General features: G+C 38.7%; 1 protein-coding gene and 1 long non-coding RNA gene across 24 annotated transcripts in view; one reads left to right on the top strand and one right to left on the bottom strand.

The window, feature by feature from the left end:
- The window catches only part of SLC8A1-AS1 (SLC8A1 antisense RNA 1), a 337,576-nt gene that overhangs the window by 71,469 nt on the left and 241,647 nt on the right, over positions 1-24,460 (bottom strand). The window lies entirely within an intron of this gene.
- Positions 1-24,460, top strand: part of SLC8A1 (solute carrier family 8 member A1) — a 415,166-nt gene that overhangs the window by 328,695 nt on the left and 62,011 nt on the right. For 4 of the 23 annotated variants that reach the window (NM_001351487.2, NM_001394105.1, NM_001351488.2 and 1 more), the window contains 5 exons: positions 5,248-5,354; positions 8,899-8,916; positions 13,392-13,460; positions 18,757-18,887; positions 22,877-22,976. In NM_001351487.2, coding sequence (NP_001338416.1) covers positions 5,248-5,354; positions 8,899-8,916; positions 13,392-13,460; positions 18,757-18,887; positions 22,877-22,976 — 425 coding nt within the window. Of the gene's footprint in view, positions 1-5,247; positions 5,355-5,885; positions 5,990-8,459; positions 8,481-8,898; positions 8,917-9,020; positions 9,036-13,391; positions 13,461-18,756; positions 18,888-22,876; positions 22,977-24,460 lie in introns of all 23 variants that reach the window. The other 19 variants (NM_001112802.2, NM_001394106.1, NM_001351494.2 and 16 more) reach the window with 8 other exon arrangements.

The raw sequence follows: 24,460 nt of genomic DNA, 5'->3' as shown, positions 1-24,460 counted from the left end.
AAGCCCAACTACTACCAGCCTATTGGTTTATCATCCAACTTAATAACAAGAACCCATTGTCCACTCTAGATTGGTGCCTCTCAGACTTCAGCATACATAAGAGTCATCTGGGGATCTTGTTAAAATGCAGATTCTGTGGGCCTGGATGGAGCCTATGATTCTGCAATTCTAACAAGTCCCCCACTTTAGGTGAGGCTGATGCTGAGACAGCTGGTTAAAACTATTCAGAGTCCTCAGAGTTGGTGAGCCATTGCATGCTCATCGCTCTTTTTAATTAAACCTTTATCTCCTCAATGATTTAACTTTTTAAAGCAGCCATCATGGAATATAACGTGTGCTGCAGTCCTTTTAAAAACAGAATTGAAATTCTATCATTGTTCATACAGTCATTCTTTGTTAATGTAAATACGAAACAATAAAACTCGTTATTAATGATCCAGATCCTTTAAAGTGGCCATAAAAATACTGCACAGTTGAATGAATAAGGGACCTAGTGGCTAATTTTGAGTCATATGATTGAAAGGTTTTGGTTCCTGAAGCCAGTCACAGGAGACTCACTTTGTGACCTTGGAAGTTACCAACTTCTCTGAGAGTCATTGTTTTCCCTGTCAATCGCAGGTAGTAGGAATTACTTCTAGGGCTGTTATGAAGATCTGTGAATTAAGAAATGCAAAGAGCCTATCATTCCACTGGCCTCTGAGAATATCTAAGGAGAGGGTAAACCTTAAAAGACAAAAAGCAACTGTAAGCATCTAAATATGTGAAATCCTCACTAAAATCTTTTGTGTAAGGATCTAAAATGGAGGAGTCTCTTCTCTTTAATCCTCCATTTCATCCTTTCCTGATCTTCTCCCAACATCAAGGGCAGACTTAAAGAAAAGAAACCATAGAAGGACAAATTGAGGCTTAAGTTGAAAAAGAGACTGTGGTACCACTTTGGCTTAACAATGAGAAACTAAAATATATTTTGAAGAGACTTTCTTTTTCAACCCTCATTAATAAAGCCACATCTTTCTTTCTTTTCTGACTGTCTGCCTGAGTCAAAACCAGATATAAGAACTCCTTGGTAGTCTGTTTGAAGATGTTCAGGTCCTTTGAGACACCTAAGATAAGAGAGAGACTGGGAAGTAAAGTATAGATGTTGGTTTGGTATCATCAAATAAAAGGCACTGCCAACTTCAAAAGGAATGATCTGTATTTTTCCACTGAATAAATTGATCTTTCTTAACCGAATGTTTTTTTCTTTTTCTTTTTTTTAGAAATAGAACCAAAATGTACTTCCATAAAAATTTTGGCCATATTAAGAAATATTTCAATGCTATCGTAAGATTTGTAACTGCTTTGCTAGTTTCCAGAAACCACAGTTTTTATAGTATACTGCTCAAATTTGAAAAGCTGTAAAAAAGAAGTGAGTTTTCCTGTCTTTATAATAATTATAATAGTTGAAAGTTGCATGATACCAGTTTTTCTATTTGTTCTTTATCAGTGCAGTAAAAATGCAAGAATTATATTTGGATGAAGGACTGTGTCTACCCAACAGTTCCAGTCTTGATTTTGTTAACCTGTCTATTTAAAGAAAAGAAGTAGCAACAGCTATGTTTCCCGTTGGTAAACAGAACAGAACAGCCAAAATGGATGTAGGTTCTCAGGGAGCTGGAGTCCTTGTGACAGTGCAAAAGTCCTGTGGACATGGGATTGGTGTGGCAATGGGGCCAACTGGAGGACATTCAAGGTTCCGTCAGTCCTTGAGATTCTTTCTACTGCAGAACTGTGAGGAACATGCTTCTGCTGATTATCAAGCCAAAATAACGACATCTTCACCAAACCAACCCCATACTATCCCCTGTGAAGGAAGAAGTGGTAGCAGTATCTTTCATGCATTAGGCTCTGGAAGGTGAAAAGGAGACATCCTAAGGATGTGTTCCTTTAAAAATTACATTGGTTTATTTCACCTCAGCTACCTTTGCTAAGGGGAGAAATTGTTCTGTTCTGAAGCAAAAGGTGAACATTACCAGTGCCTTCTGATTTTTGCCTCTGTTGATTTAAAGGGCTAATTCATAAGGACTGACTTCATCCTGCCACTTTAGATCCACTGAAATGTCCTTTAATAATCAAGTTTCCTATTAATAGCTTTACTGTGCAAGAGGAGTGAAATCAATATATAATTTAGTGGCTCTTCCTGTCAGGAGCATTATTGATTCCATTACTAATGATTTTGAAATGATATGCCATTATGCAAATTCCATCTGTTTTAGATGTCTTTGCCAGGCACCTACAAAAGTACTTTTTTCTTTTTCTTCATCTTTGATTTTTCCAGTATCATAGTTATCAAGTACTTCAAAATTTTCTAAGAATTGTGATCCTATGACTAGGGATATGCTAGTGATAAATCATAAATGCTTATTTTATATGCAAACAAATTGTGTGGAGCTATATAACTGTGTTTCCCACACCCATCAGCTACTTAGAGTATAGAAAATAGGCCAGGTGTGGTGGCTCACCCCTGTAATCCCAGCACTTTGGGAGGCCAAGGCGGGTGGATCGCCTGAGGTCAGGAGTTCCAGACCAGCCTGGCCAACATGGTGAAACCCTGTCTCTACTAAAAATGCAAAAATTAGCTGGGCATGGTGATGGGCATCTGTAATCCCAGCTACTCAGGAGGCTGAGGCAGGGGAATCGCTTGAACCTGGGAGGCGGAGGTTGCAGTAAGCCGAGATCACACCACTGCACTCCAGCCTGGGCAATAAGAGTGAGACTCCATCTCAACAAAAAAAAAGAAAGAAAATAAAGCTATTAAAAGATTTAAATATTTATGATATTCACCAAGGATTAGAAACAATATGTTGTTTGGTGATTTATTTATTTGTGAATAAGTTGCTTTGTGAACATGAAACAGGTACCTTTTCTACACAAACATTCACCCTATTAGCAAGGCTACTTCTACCATCCCCACTGTGCTTTACTTCTATAATCCAATAAAATATGTGATGAGATGCAGGGTGGGTTGCAAATACAAGATGGAGAAATATAACGTCAGATGTTTTTAAGTAATGCTAACAAGAATATTGCAACGTGACTCTCACAATGAGGGGTTTCAGTTTGATGTACCCTACAATGAAGCATCTTGATAATGGATGTTGGGCCATCAAGTGCAGAGAACAGTAGCGTGGCCCTATTATTGTCCATCAACACTTTCCTACCCTTGGTCTCACCATGCTGTTTGTTTTTGTAGAAATGTACCACTAAAGTTTAAGATTGCAAGACTGTGAGATGGAAATTAATACCCAAAATGCGTAAGTTTTGTTGACAAAGAGGACAGACATTTGGCAGTTTTGTGTAGAGCAAATTTGATCTATTTTACAACATCAAATTCAGTTCTAATTATCAAATAATCAATCATTCCTTACATCCATCCTCCTGTGCCTTCTCTAATATTTTATAATTTTTGGATATTAGGGAAAAATTAAATATTCTAGTTTAGTCACAGCAGAATAATTTTTTATACTAAAGATGCAAATTTAAAAAATAATTCTAAAAGTCAGGAAGGAGCTGTTTACAGTATACATGTAACTGGACATTATCATACTGTTGGTAGTTTTGTAAATATCTAACCACTCTTTAAAAGATGATTGTGGCTTTAGTCACTTATAGCTGTTCATCTAGTGTGTTCATATTTCAGTATTTGAGGACAGAAATGAGATAGAAAGGAGTTTCATGAGCTGCAGCTTTTTAGGAGTGAGAAATTGGAATGTGAGTATCATTCAAGAATGTTCTTTAGCTGAGGAACAGAGAGTACGTTATTGGGTTTCAGGGAACCAGAACCAATCATTTGGTCTCAGGTCTACAATGCTAAGCCAAAAAGCAAGACTTAAGCATTTGGCATTAGGCGCTGGGAAATTCAGAGAATTAAAAGCATCTTCTACCTATGACTCCTTCATATTAGGAAAGAAGACTGATATTCTTTAGTATGCATAGATCTAATGAAACTTAATGGCTCAGATAAATAAAATAAAAACAAGATCATAAGCCAATTTCCTTCCAGAAGACCTAAAAAACTCCACCAAAATTAAAGAATGGCCATGCTGTTAAAATTCCGTTGTCTACAAACACTCATTGTTTCAAAAACATTGATCAGAATTGTACTTGGCCAATGTTACTGGAAACATTTTTTCAAGACAAATCAGGGTTTAAGAGGCTTCTAATAAGTTAGTTGTAGTATATGAATTGTTTAAGCCCTTATTAATTATAAGGTAACATTAGGTTGGTTTATTTTCAGAGTCATCAAGAATGCTTATGGAAAGTTGAGATTTGCATAATATTTGCATTTGTCCTACCTGCCTGTCAGTCACTCATAGCCATAGCGCCATAAGGCAAGAACTGTTAAAGGTTGGATTACAGGAAGAATTCTAATCAAAACACCTTGGTGTATCGGTGATGTTTGAAAGTAGTGTAAATGGCATGTTTCATAGAAAGTTAAAACTCAACTTTGGAAGAATGAAAATAACTACAACATCATGACTCGCACCTGCTGCCACCCCACTTTCACAACAGCTGTTGTGAGGCCACAGCTTCCATCTTTAGAAAGACAAACAAAACGTGAACAACTTCCTGCTGTGGTCTAGCTGGAGAATCTGACTAACCTGAATAAGAGTTTGATTCTAAGACATTGGGTGGGGTGAAATAACTTGACTATATTTTCTTTGTGATATTTTTATTCATTTATTATTTTAATAACAATTTATGATAAAAATACTATATTTGGAACTATAATAAAGCACAGTGAAGGAAAAAAAATGACCTGTAAGCCAATTGCTCAGAGATAACTTCTATTAATATCTTGATGGGATTTTTTGACTTGTTCTAAAGGAGTGAGTTCCAGGGCATAGCTTAGACAATCCAATGGTTAAGGCATTTACTAAATTAATGTGTTTTTCTTTTCTTATTATTGTGATCTGTGTTTTTCTGCTTTTCCTCCTTATGATGATGACAAACCTATTAATACTGAATGCTATATTTTGCCTAAAATAATTCTGTGGCCCTGCTCAGGGGAGCTATGCATTGGGTGAAATCTCTGATCTTTCATACCTATCTGATACCCATTCTTGAAGAAAAAACTCACAGTACAGAAGTTTCTCGATTACTGTTTGTCTGAAAGTGCAGCTGGTTAACCTTGCTTTCCTCTTCTCTATGTTCCTTCTCTTCTCTTTCCTCTTCCCCTTGTTCGTCAATTTCTATTCTCTGTTTCAGCAAAACAATATCAGTCAAGGTAATTGATGATGAGGAGTATGAGAAAAACAAGACCTTCTTCCTTGAGATTGGAGAGCCCCGCCTGGTGGAGATGAGTGAGAAGAAAGGTGGGGGAGCTGCTCCAGGGCTGAGCCCAACAGCTTCTGCTGGCCTGTGCCACCCCTGGATGCCTGCACTCTTCAGAACATGACTTACAATGCACACATCCCTCCACCTATGTAACAGGGCACAGATCTCATGCTGAGCCACAGTAGGCAGGCCTGTAGCTACATCAGCCAGCGTTAGGTGCGCTGCACATTAACGTCTGAGAGATTAATTTTCAGGGCAGTCAATCAAGCATCCATTTCTGGGAAAGTTGCTGCAGATGCCATGCAATGCCATGCCAAAATACCCCAAAATGGGGTACCTACTGACTGCTAACTGAAGCGGGAATAATTCGTGAAAGTGATAAATTAGCAAAGAAAACTTAATGGGGGCCAGCCAAGAGTACCCAAGATGCCCTTTTACATACTTCAGGAGGCCCATGTGCTGCCAGTTCTCCCTCCATAACATCACAGTAACATTCAGCTTGGTGGACACCAAGAGCATGAGCGTGTGACTCCAACCATTTGTTTTGCCTTTGTCTTGTGTTCCCACAGGAAGATCATTACCATTAGAATATTTGACCGTGAGGAATATGAGAAAGAGTGCAGTTTCTCCCTTGTGCTTGAGGAACCAAAATGGATAAGAAGAGGAATGAAAGGTGTGAGAGTAAACAAAGACATACCAGCGAGAAATTGTACTCTTCTCTCTCCGTGTCTCCCTACTCTCACACTTAACTCTCTCCTCTTCCTCGGCTTCCAAGTACTATACTTCATTGCCTTTGAAGCTTTAGCAATTTCATTTCCCTTCCCTAATTCACAAGTGCAACAGGCAACGCCCACTTTCTTCAGGAAATGCCAACTAACCTTGATTGCAACCAGATTTAATAACACTGAAAGGGATTTCTGTAATTCAGAAATGATTACATAAAAGAATGTGTTTAGTTTTTCACTACTCACGGTTTATTCTAAAATGTCACTCCAATTATTAAATCTTCCCTAAAATTTTAGTGATAAAGACGACTTAATACCTCATCAATCATACCTCAATAAAGCTGGAAAAAAGAAACTGCTTAATACCTATTAGTATTAGTAGATGACCCTAATGGCAACTAACAGGAAACTTCAGAATTCAAATAATTAGGCTTCTTTGGAGAACACAGTTTAAAAATATTTAATAAGAACAAAGATCCTTAAAGAGTAGTATTTTCAATATTCTAGTGCTCATTTTAGCATATTTTTATATCATCAAATACAACATTTAAAAGGCACCATATCTATGAAACCAAAGCCTACCTAGCTTTATGCTCCAAAATCTCTTGATAATTACAGAATTAGTAAATTATTAACACATATAAAAAAAAGAAAAAATAAAAGTAGTGTCCTTTATAACTAGATTATGCCGATTTTGCTGATTATTAATATATGGCATATATTTCATAGGAAAGACAGCAATCTTGTATCAGCTTTACAGAGGATTTTTTATTCTGAATTGTTCATAGGGCTTCATATAATTATCCTCTAATGGTGGCCATTTTAAAAGGAATTCTGGTGATTTACTTATTGTGTAAAATGAGCAGACCACATATTAATAGCTCTTATTAGTTGCATACAAACAATTGGTGAGAGCAGTATGATATAATGAGATGGGCCACTTTGTAAGAAATTTATGCTTTTACAAGTAGAGGGAAAAATAAAATATATAGGACTAATTGCTATGTAGACACATAGGAAAATTTATCCCACGTTCATCCCATGTTTGTGGCCTCACAGTCCGCTGGTGGGGAAAAAACACGTATGTTTCTGTGTTAATCAAGTTCAAGATGGAGTATTTGGAGTATTTGGAGTGATGGGAAAAGGAGCACTCAAGGCCTATTTTAATGAAGCCTATTTAATATGCTCCATAGATGGTAGACAGAAGAAAAAGAGACCAGAAAATTATGCTGATTTCTTAAAAGATGGGATCCAAAATGCCTCATTAACATACAGGAGAAAGCACTTTCTTCTCAATGTATTCCTCCAAAGAACTTTATCTCAAGGAGGAGCATCTTGGATTCTGCTCTTACAATTGCCGTTTTAGTAAAATATGCTCTCATGTAACAGCAAATTAAAATTCCTTAATAGCACTATCCAGTTTCACACCCGCCAAGTGGATTCTTGTCACTATTAATAAATTACTGACTTTTTTTAGAAAGTATCCTCTAATGCCACCATCATTAGAGAGAAAACTGGGCCCAAAAAAGTAACTGTAACATTCCCGTCTTCAACTCAGGAAATAATTTGATATATTTAGCAAGGTTGCTTTTACTAAAATAAAGTGCTACAGTACATTCTGGGCTTAAAGCACATAAGCTGAAAGACAAATTATACGTCCCCCTCCCCCCAACCCAATGCCCTGTCAGTTTCCTGGGATGATATGTCCACTAGAAGGATTCTGGTTATCTAATAATGTACAGAAGTCACAGATAAGGACACAAGTAGGTGTTAATTCCTGGGACTATTAAGCTTTAAGGATTTTAAAACATAAGCAATTCTTGGTGGACAAAATATCATCCAAATAGAACATCCCAAGATAGTGCTTTACCTTGGGCTAAACTTTCTTTCCAGGCAGGGAACCCAAAATGGAATGTCCCAGGATGTTTCACCTGTACTTACTGAATAAAAGGTGTGATACCTGAGTTCCTGGGTGATTTAAGACTTCCATATGTTGGATTGACCAAATCCGAGGCAATATTTAATGAGGAAGCCTCACTCATATCAAGTTAAGAATGAATTTCATACAATGTTTCCACTGTATTTGGTAAACTAGATTTACATACTAGGTATAAACATATATACTAGCAATGTCTTATTAAATGTAAAGAAATTATATATAAGGTGAAATACATATACACACACACACACACATATACGTATGTATTCAATCACACACATTTTCAGAAATTTCAGTTGGGATTGTTTATTCAGAAATATTCCCATCACTATATTTCTTTGGGGTATACCCATTTTTAGCAGTGGCTCCCTACCACTGTAATCAGATCTGCCTGGATTTCTTTCTGCTGATATTCCTCTTACTTTCATTATTCATCTGGTCTCTTATTCTGTGTTTGTCTTTGTCTGTTTCCTTCACAGCCCTGTTATTGAATGAGCTTGGTAAGCATTTCATTTCTTGCATTTCCTTTCCATTTTTCTAGATTATTTTCCATTTCCGTCAGGTGATACAGTAGCTCTGTGACTTTTATTTCTCTTGACTTGCTAGCAAGATTGTTGTTTAGGGCCATTGACCTCATTTTGTCAAGGTCAAATAGTTTATATTGCATTTTTAATTTAGTACAACCTTTTGAAAAATCGGTGATTTCTTAGGTATGCACAAGAATTAAATTTGTGCATTAAATCTCATAATCTTAAAAGAACGATTAGTGATTCAGTCATGAACATTTTCCTAGTCTTCTTAATTGTAAATATAATTTGGCAAGTACCTTGGGTGGGTTGTCAGGCAGTCTGATGTCACTGGTATTTGTTATGTAGAGTGTCAAATTATAACATTTGTTGTTGTTTTTTTCTTTTTTAGGTGGCTTCACAATAACAGGTATGAATTTTTCAAGTCTAATGCTATCTAACTTTTACTGTCTGTTCTCACCAGATGTTATTACATTAAAAAAAATTTCTCATTTTTATTTGCTTTTAATGAAGGAAAATACCTGTTTGGTAAGACTTATTTTTTTAATGTTCCTTATTTTTCCCCAAATACCCTTAACCATCAATCCAAACCTACATCTTATGTAACTTGCATTAATATTTAACTGTGGCACATGGTGTGCTCTTGCTGGTTTTACACATTTAACGTTTTACAAATTAATAATGTGTGTGTGTTGTGTTTATAAGCTGTTCATATGGAAAAACTGTAACTGTTCATATTTTGACACTGACCAATTTACAAATGTTCACATAGTGCTAATGATGTACAGTTCCCTGATAGAGGCTCCAAAGAGCTCTAGAATAAGGTGACACAATTGCTAGCCTCAGAGAAACATAGAAGCTGACATCCAAGATGGATCCGTGGTCCAAGCTCAGGATCCTAATAACACATAAATGCCATATTGAGAAAATACATAAAAATACATGTTGAGAAAATACGTAAAAATACATCACTTTAACACATAAATTTTAATTCATAAATTATGTATGTAAATATATAATTTATAATACATAATATAATATCATGTTGAGCAGAGCCTTCCCCTCATCCCACCACACCAATCTGAGGGTTTCTCTGGGGACTTAGGTTTTAGTATTAATAACATGGTAATGAGTAATATTTCTGCCACTTGAAGCATATTACAAAGTATTCTATAAAAACTCAAAATGTCAAAATTAAAAAGTTTCAAACATTTAAATTTAGAATGGTACTCAGCCTGTGTTGATTGCATTATTTAGCACAACTCTAAAACTATATTCTTGTGTACAAAACAAAGATATTTCCTTACAGCATCCTCTGTTGTCTCTAAATATCTTCTCACCCTTTTAGAGTCATCTGTGCACATTTAGAGAGATAAATATTTAAACAGTAGGTCTGTCTGAAGCTGTAGGTTGAAGATATCTTTAATGGCCTACATTCTATATCAGTATGTGACATCTTCCAATATATTGTGCCAATATCAAAATTTTCCAATATATTGTGCAGATATCAAAATTTTGAAATCAGAGATCTGAACAAAAATATTTAGAAGAAAATATACTTCAAATTTCTGATCATGAAAATACTATGTTGGGAATTGGGATGAACTTAATCCACTGTTAGTGTAAACTCATGAACAAGCAATTCCAATGTGATTCTGTCCGAAGTAGAATTTTCTAAATATGTGCAGTTTCATGTGGGCCGTTTCACATGGGCTGTTGCTCTCCACTGCTTCTCTCTAGACATGGCATTTAATGACAAAATGATTCATAGACTCTGAGACACACAGAAGTTGAAAGGGATAAGAATGTTAAACAGGACAAGTCTTTGTGTTGGATTTCTTAAATCTGATTCATCTGAAGCTCTTCTGGGTCAGATGTCCCCAACTGTGCACTACTAAAGGTTATTTTTTAAATCAAGTGCAGGAATTTATACTCCTTTTTTTAAACTTTTATCTCCTTTTTCTCATTCCATCATTTTAACTGCTTGAAGTCCCCTTGTAAACACTCTAATTCTATCACCCAAGGATAAATGAGTTATCCCTGGGAGATTTGAAGAAGGTATAAATTTGGCAAGCCAGTCTTCATGACTGAATTGAAGTAATAATGTTTTTAAGTCAACCATTATAGAAATAGTGTACTATCCAACAGCACCTTCCATCCTGTGAAATCTGATAAAGAGACCCTAACTAAAAACTTGTGGCTACTAGGATGCTCTGTAGCCACACGTCAAAAACACATTGACGTGTTTGAATATCTTTCTGTTTTATTACTGAATGTGTCAGGACTTTTTTTTGAGATGGAGTCTCACTCTGTTGCCAGGCTGGAGTACAGTGGCGCGATCTCGGCTCACTGCAACCTCCACCTCCAGGGTTCAAGCGATTCTCCTGCCTCAGCCTCCCGAGTGTCTGGGACTACAGGCACGTGCCACCACGCCTAGCTAATTTTTTGTATTTTTAGTAGAGACAAGGTTTCACCATGTTGGCCAGGAGAGTCTCAATCTCCTGACCTCGTGATCCACCCACCTCGGCCTCCCAAAGTGCTGGGATTACAGGCGTGAGCCACCGCACCTGGCCCAAATTTTGTTTTAAGGGCCTTCCTTCTATGTCATTTGAACTGTCCTCCCTTTTAATATCTCAGGTAATGGGATCCTAGTTTTCTTTTCTCAGAACTTCTTTACATCAAATTCTATAATATCTGTCTGATAATATCCAACTTTTCCTGCCTCGGCCACAACTGGCATCCAAGATGACAGAATCACCTCCTACAAAGGTTTCTATCATTTCATGTAGTTAGTTCATTAAGTTCTTCCTATGGCTGAAACTGTAATCTGAAATGGCAGTTTCCTATTACCATCACCTCTTCCTAAGACTTGAAATTAATGCAGTTAGAACAAGAGAATGTTCCAAAACTTGGGAATTTCTACACTGGCCTGTCCATTCCTACTTTCTAAGAAATCGTCTCACTTTACATGACCCTTCTTTTCCTAAATCAAACCAGAATGCCTAGGAGCCACTCTCTACTGATGCTCCTGAGGACAGTTCTAAAACTTAGGTCTACAGCGAAAAGCAGCTTCAAGCCCTAAAGAACTTTTTTTCTTGGAAGTCAGTTGGAGGCTTTAAAGTCAAGGCTTTGAGATGCAGGGGCAGTAAGAAGAATTAATCTAGCCCTGGGACTTTGCCTGCAGCTTTTACATGGACTTGCGCAGCTGAGTGTGAAAATCTAAATTTGAAGCAGAATATATGGAAATTGAAAAAATCGTCTGATCCACAGCCTAATACCAATATTTCAGAGATCTCATTAGTGATGGACATTAAGTGTTGGAGGTGCTTTTGGAATCTGCAGATCTTTACCTATTGTTCCCAGACCTTGCCTCATTGAAAGGCCCTTGTTTGGGCCTATGATCTCATTCCCCCTTGACCTTCCAGTCATACGACAAGGTAACACTCTAAATATTATAACTCATTAGAGTTTGTAAATATTTCTTTTTCATCATATCACTTTATCACCAATCTTATAGAGTAAGACATTGTTCTCACACATAGGGGAGGAAATGAAGGTTTGAAGAAATTAATGATGACTGTTCTAATCCCAGCACTGTCCTGTTTCCTCTCCTCTAGCTTATTTCTACCTGCATCTTGAAATTATACATTGAACCCCTTTTCTACTCAAAACCCACATGTATCTAATAAATTCCATCATTATGACTTCCAGTTAAGTGAAAAGTGAGAAGTACCCCAGAATGGGGAAACTGGACCATATAAACATGAATAATTTAATAAATTAAGTATTCTGGCTCACTATGGAGAGAAGAATGTAAGTTTGATCCCCAAAACTTCTAAGATATAGAGTTCTCTAATTAAAAATCAGTCAGTATACCTATTTAATATTACTCCTCTAATCCTATTATGCTCAGCACATAATAGACTTAATAAGACACAAGACTTTTTAAGGAAGCCAAACTATGAAAATTCTGACAGTTGAAAATGTTTTCATCACTTCAGTCTGTAGGCTGGAGGAACAAAGCCTGTTCAAATTCAGCTTCACTTTATAACTGAGAAGCCTGAGAGTCAGAGAGGAGAAAGACCTTGCCCAAGTTTAGATGACAAGCATATGGCAGAGGTGGCACTGAATCCCAAATCTCATGACTCCCAGGTCAGTTATGGGTAGCTCTTGGTAGAGGCAAATAGCAAGTGAATCTGGAAGTCAGCTGAACCAGGAGTTCAATGAGAACCCCCTAGGCCTAGGTTAACCCTAGGTTATCCAAACAGTTGCTGTGACGATGGCCTACCTCTGCAAAACCTACAGGCGTACATAACATTCTGCCTGTCTTAGACAGAGCAGGTACTATTATCACCATTTTACATGGGGAGAAACTGGAGAAATGGCCTACACAAGGCTATATTGTTGGCACTAATAGGCTTCCCAATCACTAGTACACTATTTCTATAATGGTTGACTTAAAAACATTATTACTTCAATTCAGTCATGAAGACTGGCTTGCCAACCACGACACCTGCCACTATACCTTTTGTTGTTCCATGATGCTTCTGCAAGCGGTACCTTGAAGGACCTTGACACATCATTTAAGATACCTGTAGGAATCTGGCTGTACTCACTACCATGGGGCTTGTGGTTTGTTGACACAGTCTTGTTTGGCTCATGAAATACTCGCTCATCTCTGAGCAGTGATCTCCATCAGTAACTTCCACCAGAGCTCCCTTCTGTGACCTACCTAGGGGTGACCTATGATCATTGAATCCCCAAACTAACGTTGCTTGTGATGTGTGCATCTGGGTGTGATGTTTAGCTTACTAATTCCACAAAGCTCTGATAGCAAATCAATGCAATCCATTCTGCTGATTTTTCTGCCTGTCCTTTTGCTAGGCCAACCTGTCTTCAGGAAGGTTCATGCTAGAGAACATCCGATTCTCTCTACTGTAATCACCATTGCAGGTACTCATTTCATCATGATCCTTGAAAACCACAGCCTCCCAGAGTTCTTTAATGTTAGAGACATTACAGTCATGCATTTTAGCCCCTCTCCTCTGTAAAACATTGCTAAATAATGCTGCAGCTTCTCTGGCAGCCAGTGGTACGGTGGATTACAACAAAACACAAGCACGTGAGGGCAGAAAAGGAGCACTGAGTAGGGACCAGCCCAGCCTGCAGAGAAGACTGATCCCATGGCCTCTCTTTCCTGAGTTTTAATGTATTCCAGATTTCTTGGAAATATTTCTTCTCGCACATCAGTTTTTATCCCAAGTGTAATGAAGTTTCTTTATTTTATTTGAGATGGGGATTCTCTCTGTCACTCAAGCTGGAGTGCAGTGGTGGAATCAATCACAGCTCACTGCAGCTTCAACCTCCTGAGCCCAAGGGATCCTCACACCTCAGCCTCCTGAGTAGCTAGGACTATAGGTGTGTACCACCATGCCCAGCTACTTTTTGTACTTTTTGTAGAGACGGGGTCTCACCATGTGGCCCAGGCTGGTCTGGAACTCCTGGGCTCAAGCAGTCCACCCGCCTCTGCCTCACCAAGTGTTAGGATTACCAGAATGAGTCATGGTGCCCAACCATGAAGTTTCTTTTAAAGCTGAGCTGTATTTCTTCCCAGAGCCTGCCCTTGCTGCCCCCAGGCAACATGATGTTAGCCAGATATGCCCAGATGATAGTACATCTGTGGGGTTTCTCCACAGGGGAAATAAATGACATTGACAGGGTGACTAGAGGATTACACAGCTATCCCAGATCTAATACAGGTTTAGAGCCCAAATATCATCTCTAATGATATTTGGGTCTGTATCAGTCACTTTAGCCTCCAATCAAAGAGGCCAGCCACATGCTAAAAATTGTCAGGAGAGACCTCTGCTTTCTGACTTGTCAGCATAGTTCTGAGTGGAGGATCAAAATGATCTGGAGCAAATTGTCCCACCACTGGCCTTGTCCGCCTCTCCAAATTCTACGTTGTTTGTACAGTTTTAAAATGTGACTACATTGAAGACTCTCAACAGTGTCCCCTGAGGTAGAGATCTTGATAATGAGATGGACCTTATGGGTTGTGTTGTTTTCCCACTCTCAGCACTTCACCTCTTACACTGACTCTGCTTCAAAATACAGCTTGAACCAGAGAGCGTTAGAAACAGCTTTCTCAAAATGCTGCTTTCCCCAGATGCCAGGTACCTATTAGCTTTTATTATTTGCTATTGCTTGCAAAATCAATTACTCAGGAGAAGGGAGATCCCCCACTGGTGATTCTATTCCAGGACTGTTTTATGTCCTGTCAATATTGATTTTAGCAGTGGCTGTTAATTATGCATTTGATCTTTAAGTTGTTTGGATTGGTTAAGACTATGATGTTATGTAATTTATTCCCAACTTCTCAATAAAATATGGTGAATTTTAAAAGTGTGCATGTGCACTCAGGAGGAGAAAGAGTATATTTTCCATCTGAGAAAACTAAAACCACAGCATATTATCTCACTCTGCAGAAGTAAAGAAATGAAACTGACCTCAACCATAGTAAAATGATCTGCTTTTGATCCAATGCTCCAAGAGAAAAGGAAACAAAATAGATGATTAAAATTTTAAAAATGCTGTTAAACCATTTCCGTATTCAACAGAAAGTATCTAAAGACAGAAAACAGTTTTGTTAAAAATTAGACTTGGCTCTCATTTTTGCCAGTCAAAAATCTAGACCATAAATGTGAATTTATCAGTATAACTGTAGAGCAATAATAGAATCTATACAGCTGCCATTTCTCAGTTACATATAAATAAAAGTTTATGATACTTAAGTCAAAACTGCCCTGACCCTTCCATGACCCTGTACCATTGTACTTTGATTTCTCTCTGCCTGGAATGAACTTCCGCATTCCACCACCTCCTATCTATCCTTACCATCACCTTCACCGGGCGGCAATCTTCTATATGTGCTTCAAGGCCAACTTCAAATAGCTCCTCTTTCCTGAAGCTTCCTTCAGGAAAGGAAGGCTTCCTTCCCTGACTCCCTTTAGGCCAACTGAGTTGTTCCCCAACCCTGGTCCCCTAGTCCTTATCATGCCTAGAAGTTGCCCATTGTCTATTCCTGTCCCCATTACATCATAAGTTCCTGGAAAGTAGAGGAGGAAGTGCTGACATGGTATGGAGTACAATGAGATGTGCTCAATGAAAAAATGATCCGTTTTGTATGGGTTGAGCAACTAAGAGGCTTTATTAACAGTGAGTTGGAGAGTCACACAGCAAATGCTTATTGAGCACCTACTATATTCCATATATTGTAATAGGTGCCAGAGGATACAAGGATGGTTCAAAGCACAATGAAACTTATTGTTCTATCTCAGTGAGTTTATGTGCTGGATATTTATATGTAAAGATAATTAAAAAATTTAAAAACAGTCTATGAAAATGTCCATGGTCTATACACACAACGAATATTAAGGAATTAATATAAGGTTAGAGTGGTAGTTCATAAACCTTCTCACTCATCAATAGGGAGTTATTTCCTGCCAGAAGAGGTGGGGTTTTGAAAGATAAGATTTAACAAAATGAAAATTGTGAAGCTTGTCCAGGTGAATACATAAAGGGATAAAAGTGTGGAATTAAGAAATCTAAGTCCCTTTGAAGCAAGAGTGTAGCAAATGATAGAAACAGTGTGCCTTACTGTTTTTTAGGTTAGTATGAAATAAGTTAACACTATATTTCTTAATTTTTGTCATTCCCATACTGCTTTGGTTGCATACCAACTATACTATTTACTTAATGTAATTTTTAAAATTGCCTCATGTTTATACTTTATTAAGTTTGTTTTTAAAAGAAAACTTTAAGTCACTAACACAGGAAAACTAGTATCGTTTGCCACAAATAGAAAGTAAAATTAAAAAATTTTTACAATGGAAAAAAGTTATTAAATTCTAGCTAGATGATGGCAAGTGCTCTACACCTGAGAACTATTTTGACTACCTATCTTAAAAGGTACAAAAGTCGAGATACTAGGAACTAGTTACAGACCTAACAGCACCGAATTAAGCATTTCTTCCTGATCAGAAGGACTGAAGGATTTTTGGAAAAGAAAGAACCTTTTCACTCATTGTATGATTTGACTTCATTTGCTTATTCCATGTCCAGTTATTTAATACCATGATCAAAACCAGTTTAATTTCATGAAATGCTGCACTTAACAATGCTACCACATCAGCTTTGTTTTGTAATTTCTCTATTTTTTCTAGGTAGATTGCCTTGAGTCCCATTAAAAGCAGCTTGTCATTTATAAGTAAACTACAAAAAGAAGGCCATAATAAATATTCTCCCCCAATAGCTTCACAGTTTAAATAGATGTCCAAGTTGTAATATTCCTTCTTCTGAGAAAACCATTCTTGTTCTGTGTAAGTCTTCAACTCATCCATGTTCAGCCAAAGTTTCAAACAAAGATGCTAGCATAAACTACTGCTATGAAAACTACTAATAACATTATCCTGGGTTCAAGGATCACAAAGCAGTGGTAATCAACATTATTAATTTCAGTGCTGGATAAATTGCACTTCATGTATCTCAGCCACCTCTCTTGACTAGACATACATAATTTTGCAAGGACAAATCTTGGAGAACCAGAACTCTTTGCCTTCCCTTGGGTCATAACTTCCCAATCCTACTATAAAAAATATTGCCACTTTTATAGTTAAAATTAATCTCCTTGCCCCTCTCCTTTGCCTCTGCTAACATTCAGCAGCTTCTGGCCAGTCCAAAATCATTTATTTTTAGTCTGCAACTAATTTATTTGGTGCCCTGTAATCTCTGAGGCTAGGAAAGCAGATTTTAAAATGGGCTTTTAGGATGACACTATAAAATGTATACTAAAGAATTAATCAATATGCTACATTCTGCTTTTGCCTTTTGTTGGTTTTGACCCTTGAAATATTAAATGCTGGCACTGCCTCTAGCTCATTCACTCCCTGCCCTCACAACGAGCAGCTAGCCTAGGAACCATTCATTCCCTGCAACAGCTGCCAAAGCAACAATGGAGCCACCATAGCGTGGTCCCTCAGCAGGGGGGAGGCCATGGGTCTTTGGAGGTAATGGGAGGTATGGACTTCTACAGAAGCTAATATTTAAATGCACCAGGCAGGAAGCCAGGACCAAACATCCCTTTTATTGCATGTCTTTTTAGTCAACAGCCCCCTGTTGGAGGCACTTTGTCCAGAGGTCCTAGAAATGAGGCCATCAGGGCTGAGGTCTTTCCATATCAGATAATGTTTCATTGGAGACAATGTTCATTCCACTTAAATCTGAGAAGAAGTAGCTTGTCTTGTTTCAGCATTCTGGGCCTAAAGGATAAGGGTAATTATAGGACCAGTGTTTGCCCTTCTTATATGCATGGCCTTTTCAGTCTGGGATTTATCCTAATGACCTTCACAAAGAGAGAGCCAACTGTGAGCTTCCCCTCATTAATGGGCTCTTGGATCCATTAACATTTCCTCAGCACCCACCGTCCTCTCCTGGACTGTAAGCTACATGGTAGTTCTGGAAATAATTGTGCTCACATGGTGAGTGAGTATTTTAACTCCCGAAAGGCCTCACCCTCGCCCTCCCTGTTTACTTTAAGATTAACATGGCCAAGGTTTTCCTAACAAATTTTGGCTTTGCACCAGACTGAAGCAGCACTGGAGCCCAAGCGTCTCACAGAAATATGGAATGGATGTTTTGCTGTTTAACTTGCAATAGGGTCTCTTGGCAAGAGAGAGGCTAAAGTCAGAATTTCCTGTTCCCCATCTCTTTGGGCCTCAGGCATTTTCTGTTGCCCCTAGAAAGTGAAGAGGAAGAGGCCAGACTCCGCCATCTCTGAGGGTCACTCTAGCACTTTCAATTGTGTTTCCCTTTGGTCACGTGCTGAAAGAATGTGTACAAACAGCCAACTGAGCCAGCGTCACAGGGAATAGCTGCGTGACTCCCTTACCATAGACAATGTACAGGCAGAGTCTTTTCTCAGTGATATGCCCCATACATTACTTTTCCTCAACTGAACTTTTGCATGAGCTTAGATTGTGAGATGTTATAATCACTTGCTCTCACAGTGATATGCTGCCTTACATGCCAAGTGTCTGTCTGGCTCTTCCCTCCAGCATCGTGATCTCACCCAGGGGGCTTTAGTAGGTCATTAGGGCTTCCTTCCTCCTTGGCTTTCTTATGGCAGGATCCAGGGATTTCCAAATTAAACAGAACACAGTGCTCACTCTCTGATACTTCCGTTTCACAGACGAATATGATGACAAGCAGCCACTGACCAGCAAAGAGGAAGAGGAGAGGCGCATTGCAGAAATGGGGCGCCCCATCCTGGGAGAGCACACCAAGTTGGAAGTGATCATTGAAGAATCCTATGAATTCAAGGTATGCTCACCAACACTGCCCACCAGGAGCCAGTCTCACCTTGGGACAGAAACTGTTCATAGGGTTGGCCAAAGCTTAAGATCCACCTGGAAAGAGTAGTAGATGTAATTTCAGGAACTGGCTTGTGAATTGAGAGCCTTTGGGGCCAAATTGGAATTATAGAGTTAATCAGGAACCAAGGAGTCCTGTAAACCAAACAGCATCCGAACCAGGGCCCAGCAGGAGACATCTATGACTGCACAAGGTCAGAGGTGCCCCAAAGGGAAGGTTTAATCTGAGGGGCAGCAAGGAACATGCAAAGGTGAATCCTAAGAGATTGTTATGTGTGGAAGAAACCAAGTTCTATTTGAAAATGCTAATAAATCTGTCAGAGCAAGGCATTCACACTGCTGAAAATTAGGAGGCTTTTGTTTTGCAGGGGGATAGTAATATCTCCCTATGGAACATCCCATTGACAAGCTCTCATTTATATTTAATCATCCTCTTCAGATCCAAGGACATTTTAGTACAGTCAATATACCGAATGCAGAGTGCCTGCAACCGGAGTTTACAGTTGAGCTGATAAAATTGGATTCTCAGTTCTCTAGATGATAAAAGTCATTTTTGCAGAAGTTGAATGTGTGGGCCTGGGGATGGAGCTTAAGACTTTGAAGTGAAATTTCCTGTTGATCCTTAGCTGCTCCCTCTGTCCCCTCCCATCCCTTCTACCCTACATGGTTCTAGCATCTGGGAAGACCACAGGGGAAGAAACAGTTCAGTTCTGCAGTGGGATATGAAATGTGCATCCCCTCTCTTGCTTTCCAGAATTACAAACCCAGAGCACAGCAGTATTTTACCTGCTTACTTTTCAAAAGCAGACACTGTTCCTGTTTGAAACACCAGAATGAAGGTTTCAAAAGAGAGAATCAGACCACCAATTTAGAAGTTTCAGATTTTATCTGGACTTCTCATAATAGTCCCCTCTTTTCCTTTAGCTGGATCCATTAATTATTTTTTAATTTACTTCACAAATGGAGGTGCCTGATAGGAGACAGGTGGAAAACAAAATGTCTTTGAAATTAAAGTGGAATATTTTAAGATAAAAATGCAATTAATCTTTTTCCTTTAGGCCACTGAGAATCTGTCTGTTAACTCTTCTTTCACACATTTCCATAGGAGGAGGGGGTCCGGGGGTAAACAGTGGAACCAATGCTTTCTAGGCAGACCCCGATCATTAGACCCCCATTGTATGACACAGAACTTGGCTTGTTGCACAACCATGCCTGGAATGTGCACAAGTTCCCTGTAATTCCAGAAGTCGGGGAATCTCAGACTGTCCATTTCTGGTGACCCATCTACTCATCTTTTCTCCATGTGTGTTCAACCTCCCTCTTCCTCATTCACCCTCTTTTCATTTGGAATCAGAGAGCTGAGTGCCATTTTCTGTAGCAGAGAGTCTATGGGTTGGTATTCCTGAAGCAAGCTTGCCCCTGCCCTTTGCCTGGGTTCTCCTGGGGAATTGTGTGTTCTCTCCCTTATGGGATGATCTCAGACCTTCCCCTTCCATGCACCCATGACAGGAAGAGCAATCATAGTAACTTCCCATAAGAAGCATTAAGTTAAGCAAGGCCGGGCACAGTCTTCCAGGCAGCAAAGCCTTCTTGGGTCCAAAGCCCTTTCTGGTAACCACTATAATGATCTGACCATTTGAAAGTGCCCCAAGTCTCTACATGAAACCAGTTGTTTGGGGTACTTATCTTTGTAGGATAGCTTCCATAGATTATTTCCAGTCATCTCTTCAAAGTTCATCAGTATAGTTACCATTAATACCTACAAGGCACGTTAGGGGCATGTTTTAGAACTGCCCTTACGTATCAGCCTAGATTTTATATTATTTAAGAAATCTCTTTTACTAGAACATAGGTATTTTAAAGAACTTACTCAGAGCTCCCAGAACTGTACCAGAGACCCAAATCTGGGTGGTACCTTTCAATGGCCCACTCTGCTTTACCCACTGAGTTCTTATTTACTATGGTGTGACTGAGGACCTGGTTTTACTAACACCCATTGCTGAGGGTGAGGTTTTCACAAGCCTTTGAAAATCTAGTGCAGTGAAAAACTGATCACAAGCATTTAGGAACCTCCTAGGTAAATACAGACAACAGTGTCCAAGTTCAGGTGTCTGAACTATATCTTTATTCACTCCCATTTTTCCCATAGGTCAAGGAAGGATACATATGAAAATTAAGTCCTAGGAAGAACCCTGGCTATACTATAATCCCCCAGGATTAACATGAACTACAGTTTAAAATCTACCCTGAGTTTTACACACAGAAGTTTAGTTTATCTTAAACATTTGTTCTTTAGCAGCTATTTCTTGAGGAAAGTCTGTGCTCAATGTTAGAGAAGTTTATCTGTTCAATTGTTTATTTCCCAGGTGATGGGATACTCCGTCATGGATTCAGCACAGAGTGCCTCTTTGGAGAGAACTGTCCCAAGTTTCCACTACATTAGGAAAAATCGAGGTCATTTCTTATTACATTCTACAAGGCACTTTGAATTTGTAGCAGTGAGGATGGTCAGAGTACTTGATGAGATGTGGCTGAGTTGAGAAAAGAAAGATGGATGCTGGTCAAGTGCTTCAAGTTATGGTGGCCAAGAGCAGTGATGGTTACAGCTGTTATCAGGGGCACCAGCAGTTCTAGACACAAAGCTGGAAGCTGAAAGGTCATCACCCTAAGGACATACAATTCTTTCAAGAATAATGTCATGAATACAGAGTGAGCCAGTTGGAGATGGGCCCTTTCATGCTTATTATCTTCTCAATGTTTCAAGTCTGTTCCAATGACTCTTCTTGAGCAAACATGCTTGATATTATGATTTGGTTTTGGCCTTTAATACAAGCCCTTTAGATAGCATTTTGCTTACTCCCAGTTAGTTGGAAATGTGCTCTCTTAAACCATAGTCCACTCAAGTACATTGCATAAAACATATACAGATTTCGACCTATGACAAATAATGTGTTTTCTGCCTCTTTGCAATTAGTGGAAATTCAAGGATGCTCTGACAGTAAGTGTGGATGTTTCGTAGACTAGTCACTGTGGTAGTTTCTTGGGATGAGCAGCCTTAGTGTCTTGGAAATGACTTTTCTCCCTGTAGTTGCCATGACTTGCAGTAGTGCTTTCAGTCCATCTGCTTACTTAGTTTTCTCGTGAATGTTTGGCTGCTCTTGTTGTTACATTAACTGAATTTAGAAAGCTAGAGAGTACTGATTGTACAAAACAAGGTGCTTAAAAAGTTCCAAAGAAAAATAAGGGGTATGCAGCACAGTGCCAGTAAAGCAGGGGAGATTTAGGGCAAGGTAAACTGCAACGTGCCCTAAACCATAAGAACTGAACTTTTCTTGTATTTTTGTGTATTCTTGTTTGCAATAGGAATAGGGTGAGCATGAGATTCTCTAAGAGGCAAGAGGCTGACAAAATAGTACCCAGAGACAAATCCATTTATTGATGACCATGCAGCAGGCAACCTGGAGACTCCATTATCTGGCTACATTTCATTGATAAACAAAATACAATAGCAATATTTTTTGGTTCCATAATCTGTCACTTCCGGCTATTCGCAGATATGTAGTGCTGAATAGGGCATATGTTAATTCACTTGCAGACGAAACACTACAGATGAAACCAGCAGAGAAGCAAGTTGGCAAAGCATTCAGGGGGATGGATGGGCTTTTGCAGCATCTGCTATTCTAAACACTGAGGCTATTCTTCATTAGTCAGTGAAGGAGACTTGTATTTGCTACAAAGAAGTTTCCATTTCAGAATGTTTCCAACTAAGGACCATGCTTGTTTGCATAATCATAACAGTGTTTGATGTCAATACTGTTGTTTTGAGCCTAACATCTGCTACCCTTTATATAACTCTGGAGTTTCAAAATCAACAAGGTCTTGGATTTCCTGAGGCCTTAGCGAACCCAGCATTTATATTTTTCTTTTCAACATTTCTAGAGTACTGTGGACAAACTCATTAAGAAGACAAACCTGGCCCTTGTGGTTGGGACTAACAGCTGGAGAGAACAGTTCATTGAAGCTATCACTGTCAGTGCTGGTGAGTGCCTTTCTCTGCATATTATAAATTAAAATTGCCCAATCTGAGCTGAGTTTTCCTACTGTGGCTACTTGGTCTATGGCAAAGCACCAAAGGGCTTCCATGGCAAAATTAAGGGAGAAATAAGTTTATTTGTTAATGTATGCACATTTTAAAGACTAAATTGACTATCTAGATGAAGCAAATGTCTTCACACATGACATTTTCCTCCATCTATATTGCATCTTTCTGGAAATAGACAAGATAAATTTAAAGCGTTTTGTGTCTCTAATTCACGAATAGCCAATCACTAGGCTTTGTCTGGAAAATTCCCTGTAAGCAGCACAAAGGTGGCCAAGTCAAGGTCAAGAAAAAAAGCAGCAAAATCCTAGGTGGAAAGGGAAGACACTAAGACACTTGACCACAACCATCTGCATCATTTTACACTCTCTTCAACAACATGCAACAAATACGTGTTTGCACTGGCTCTAGAAATAGAAATAGAATTACATTCTGTTTCTTCTTGCACAAGCAAAGTACAGAGTTTTATTTAGGAAGTTCCTACAAAATGAAGTGTTTTTCAAACTCACGGAGTCAGAAACATGAGGGAATTAAATAGAGAGAGAGGTGTGCTCTTCCTGTATTGTCAAACCCTGTCCACTCTTTGTGTGATTGTATAACGATACAGGAAAGTCCCTCTTAAAGATTCATGAAAGCAACCCCGTCCTTGGATTTTTTTTCCTGTTCTTCTGCTCCATCTACACTGGCTCTCTTTAAAGATCCCTCCAGGCTCATCTTCTACAGTTGCAACGAATTAACAAAGGTAGAGTTTCCTAAATACGTAGTGATTCCCAAGCTGTAAAATTTGGAAACTGCGTCACTAGCAGTTGGGCCATGATTTCTACCCCAAATCCCTTTTTCCAGTCTGCCACAGGGTAATTTGACACATCTCCCAAGTGCTGTGAGAAGAGAGGGTAGTAAAAATTTTATGCCTGTTTATTATTAGTGTGTTTATAATCTTGCTTTGGTTTTTTGCAATTGAATATATAGTGGGAATTTATGAACATTAAATGGTGGGTAACTGCTCAGGAGAGTGGATTTGGAATTTGCATATAAGCTCTAATAGAAGGAGGGGTAAACTCTCTTTTATTTCTTATGTTTTTCTATAAATCTAAGCTTAATATATGAGGCATGAGCTATACTCCCTCTTCACAGACACAACTAAGCAGACAAAAATTTCTAGAATAAGAAACTGCTGACGAAGCCAATAGTAGAAAATATTAAAAATGAACAAACTCTTTTATGGGCCTTGACATATTAGAATTAAAACATTAAAAGCATCCTAAGCCTTATACTGAACCATTTCTAATCATTTCTGTTTTCTTAGCTGCAGGTATATGAGCATTTGTATAACAACCATAAGCTGGCCATCATTCCTTCGTTTTTCTATGTCAATTATTGTTCTTGGTGCAAGGCACATGACAGCGAATGCAACAAATACCCCT

Source organism: Homo sapiens, chromosome 2, assembly GCF_000001405.40.
Source record: "Homo sapiens chromosome 2, GRCh38.p14 Primary Assembly".
NCBI classification, from domain to species: Eukaryota; Metazoa; Chordata; class Mammalia; order Primates; family Hominidae; genus Homo; species Homo sapiens.
This window is presented reverse-complemented; position numbering and strand designations above follow the sequence as displayed.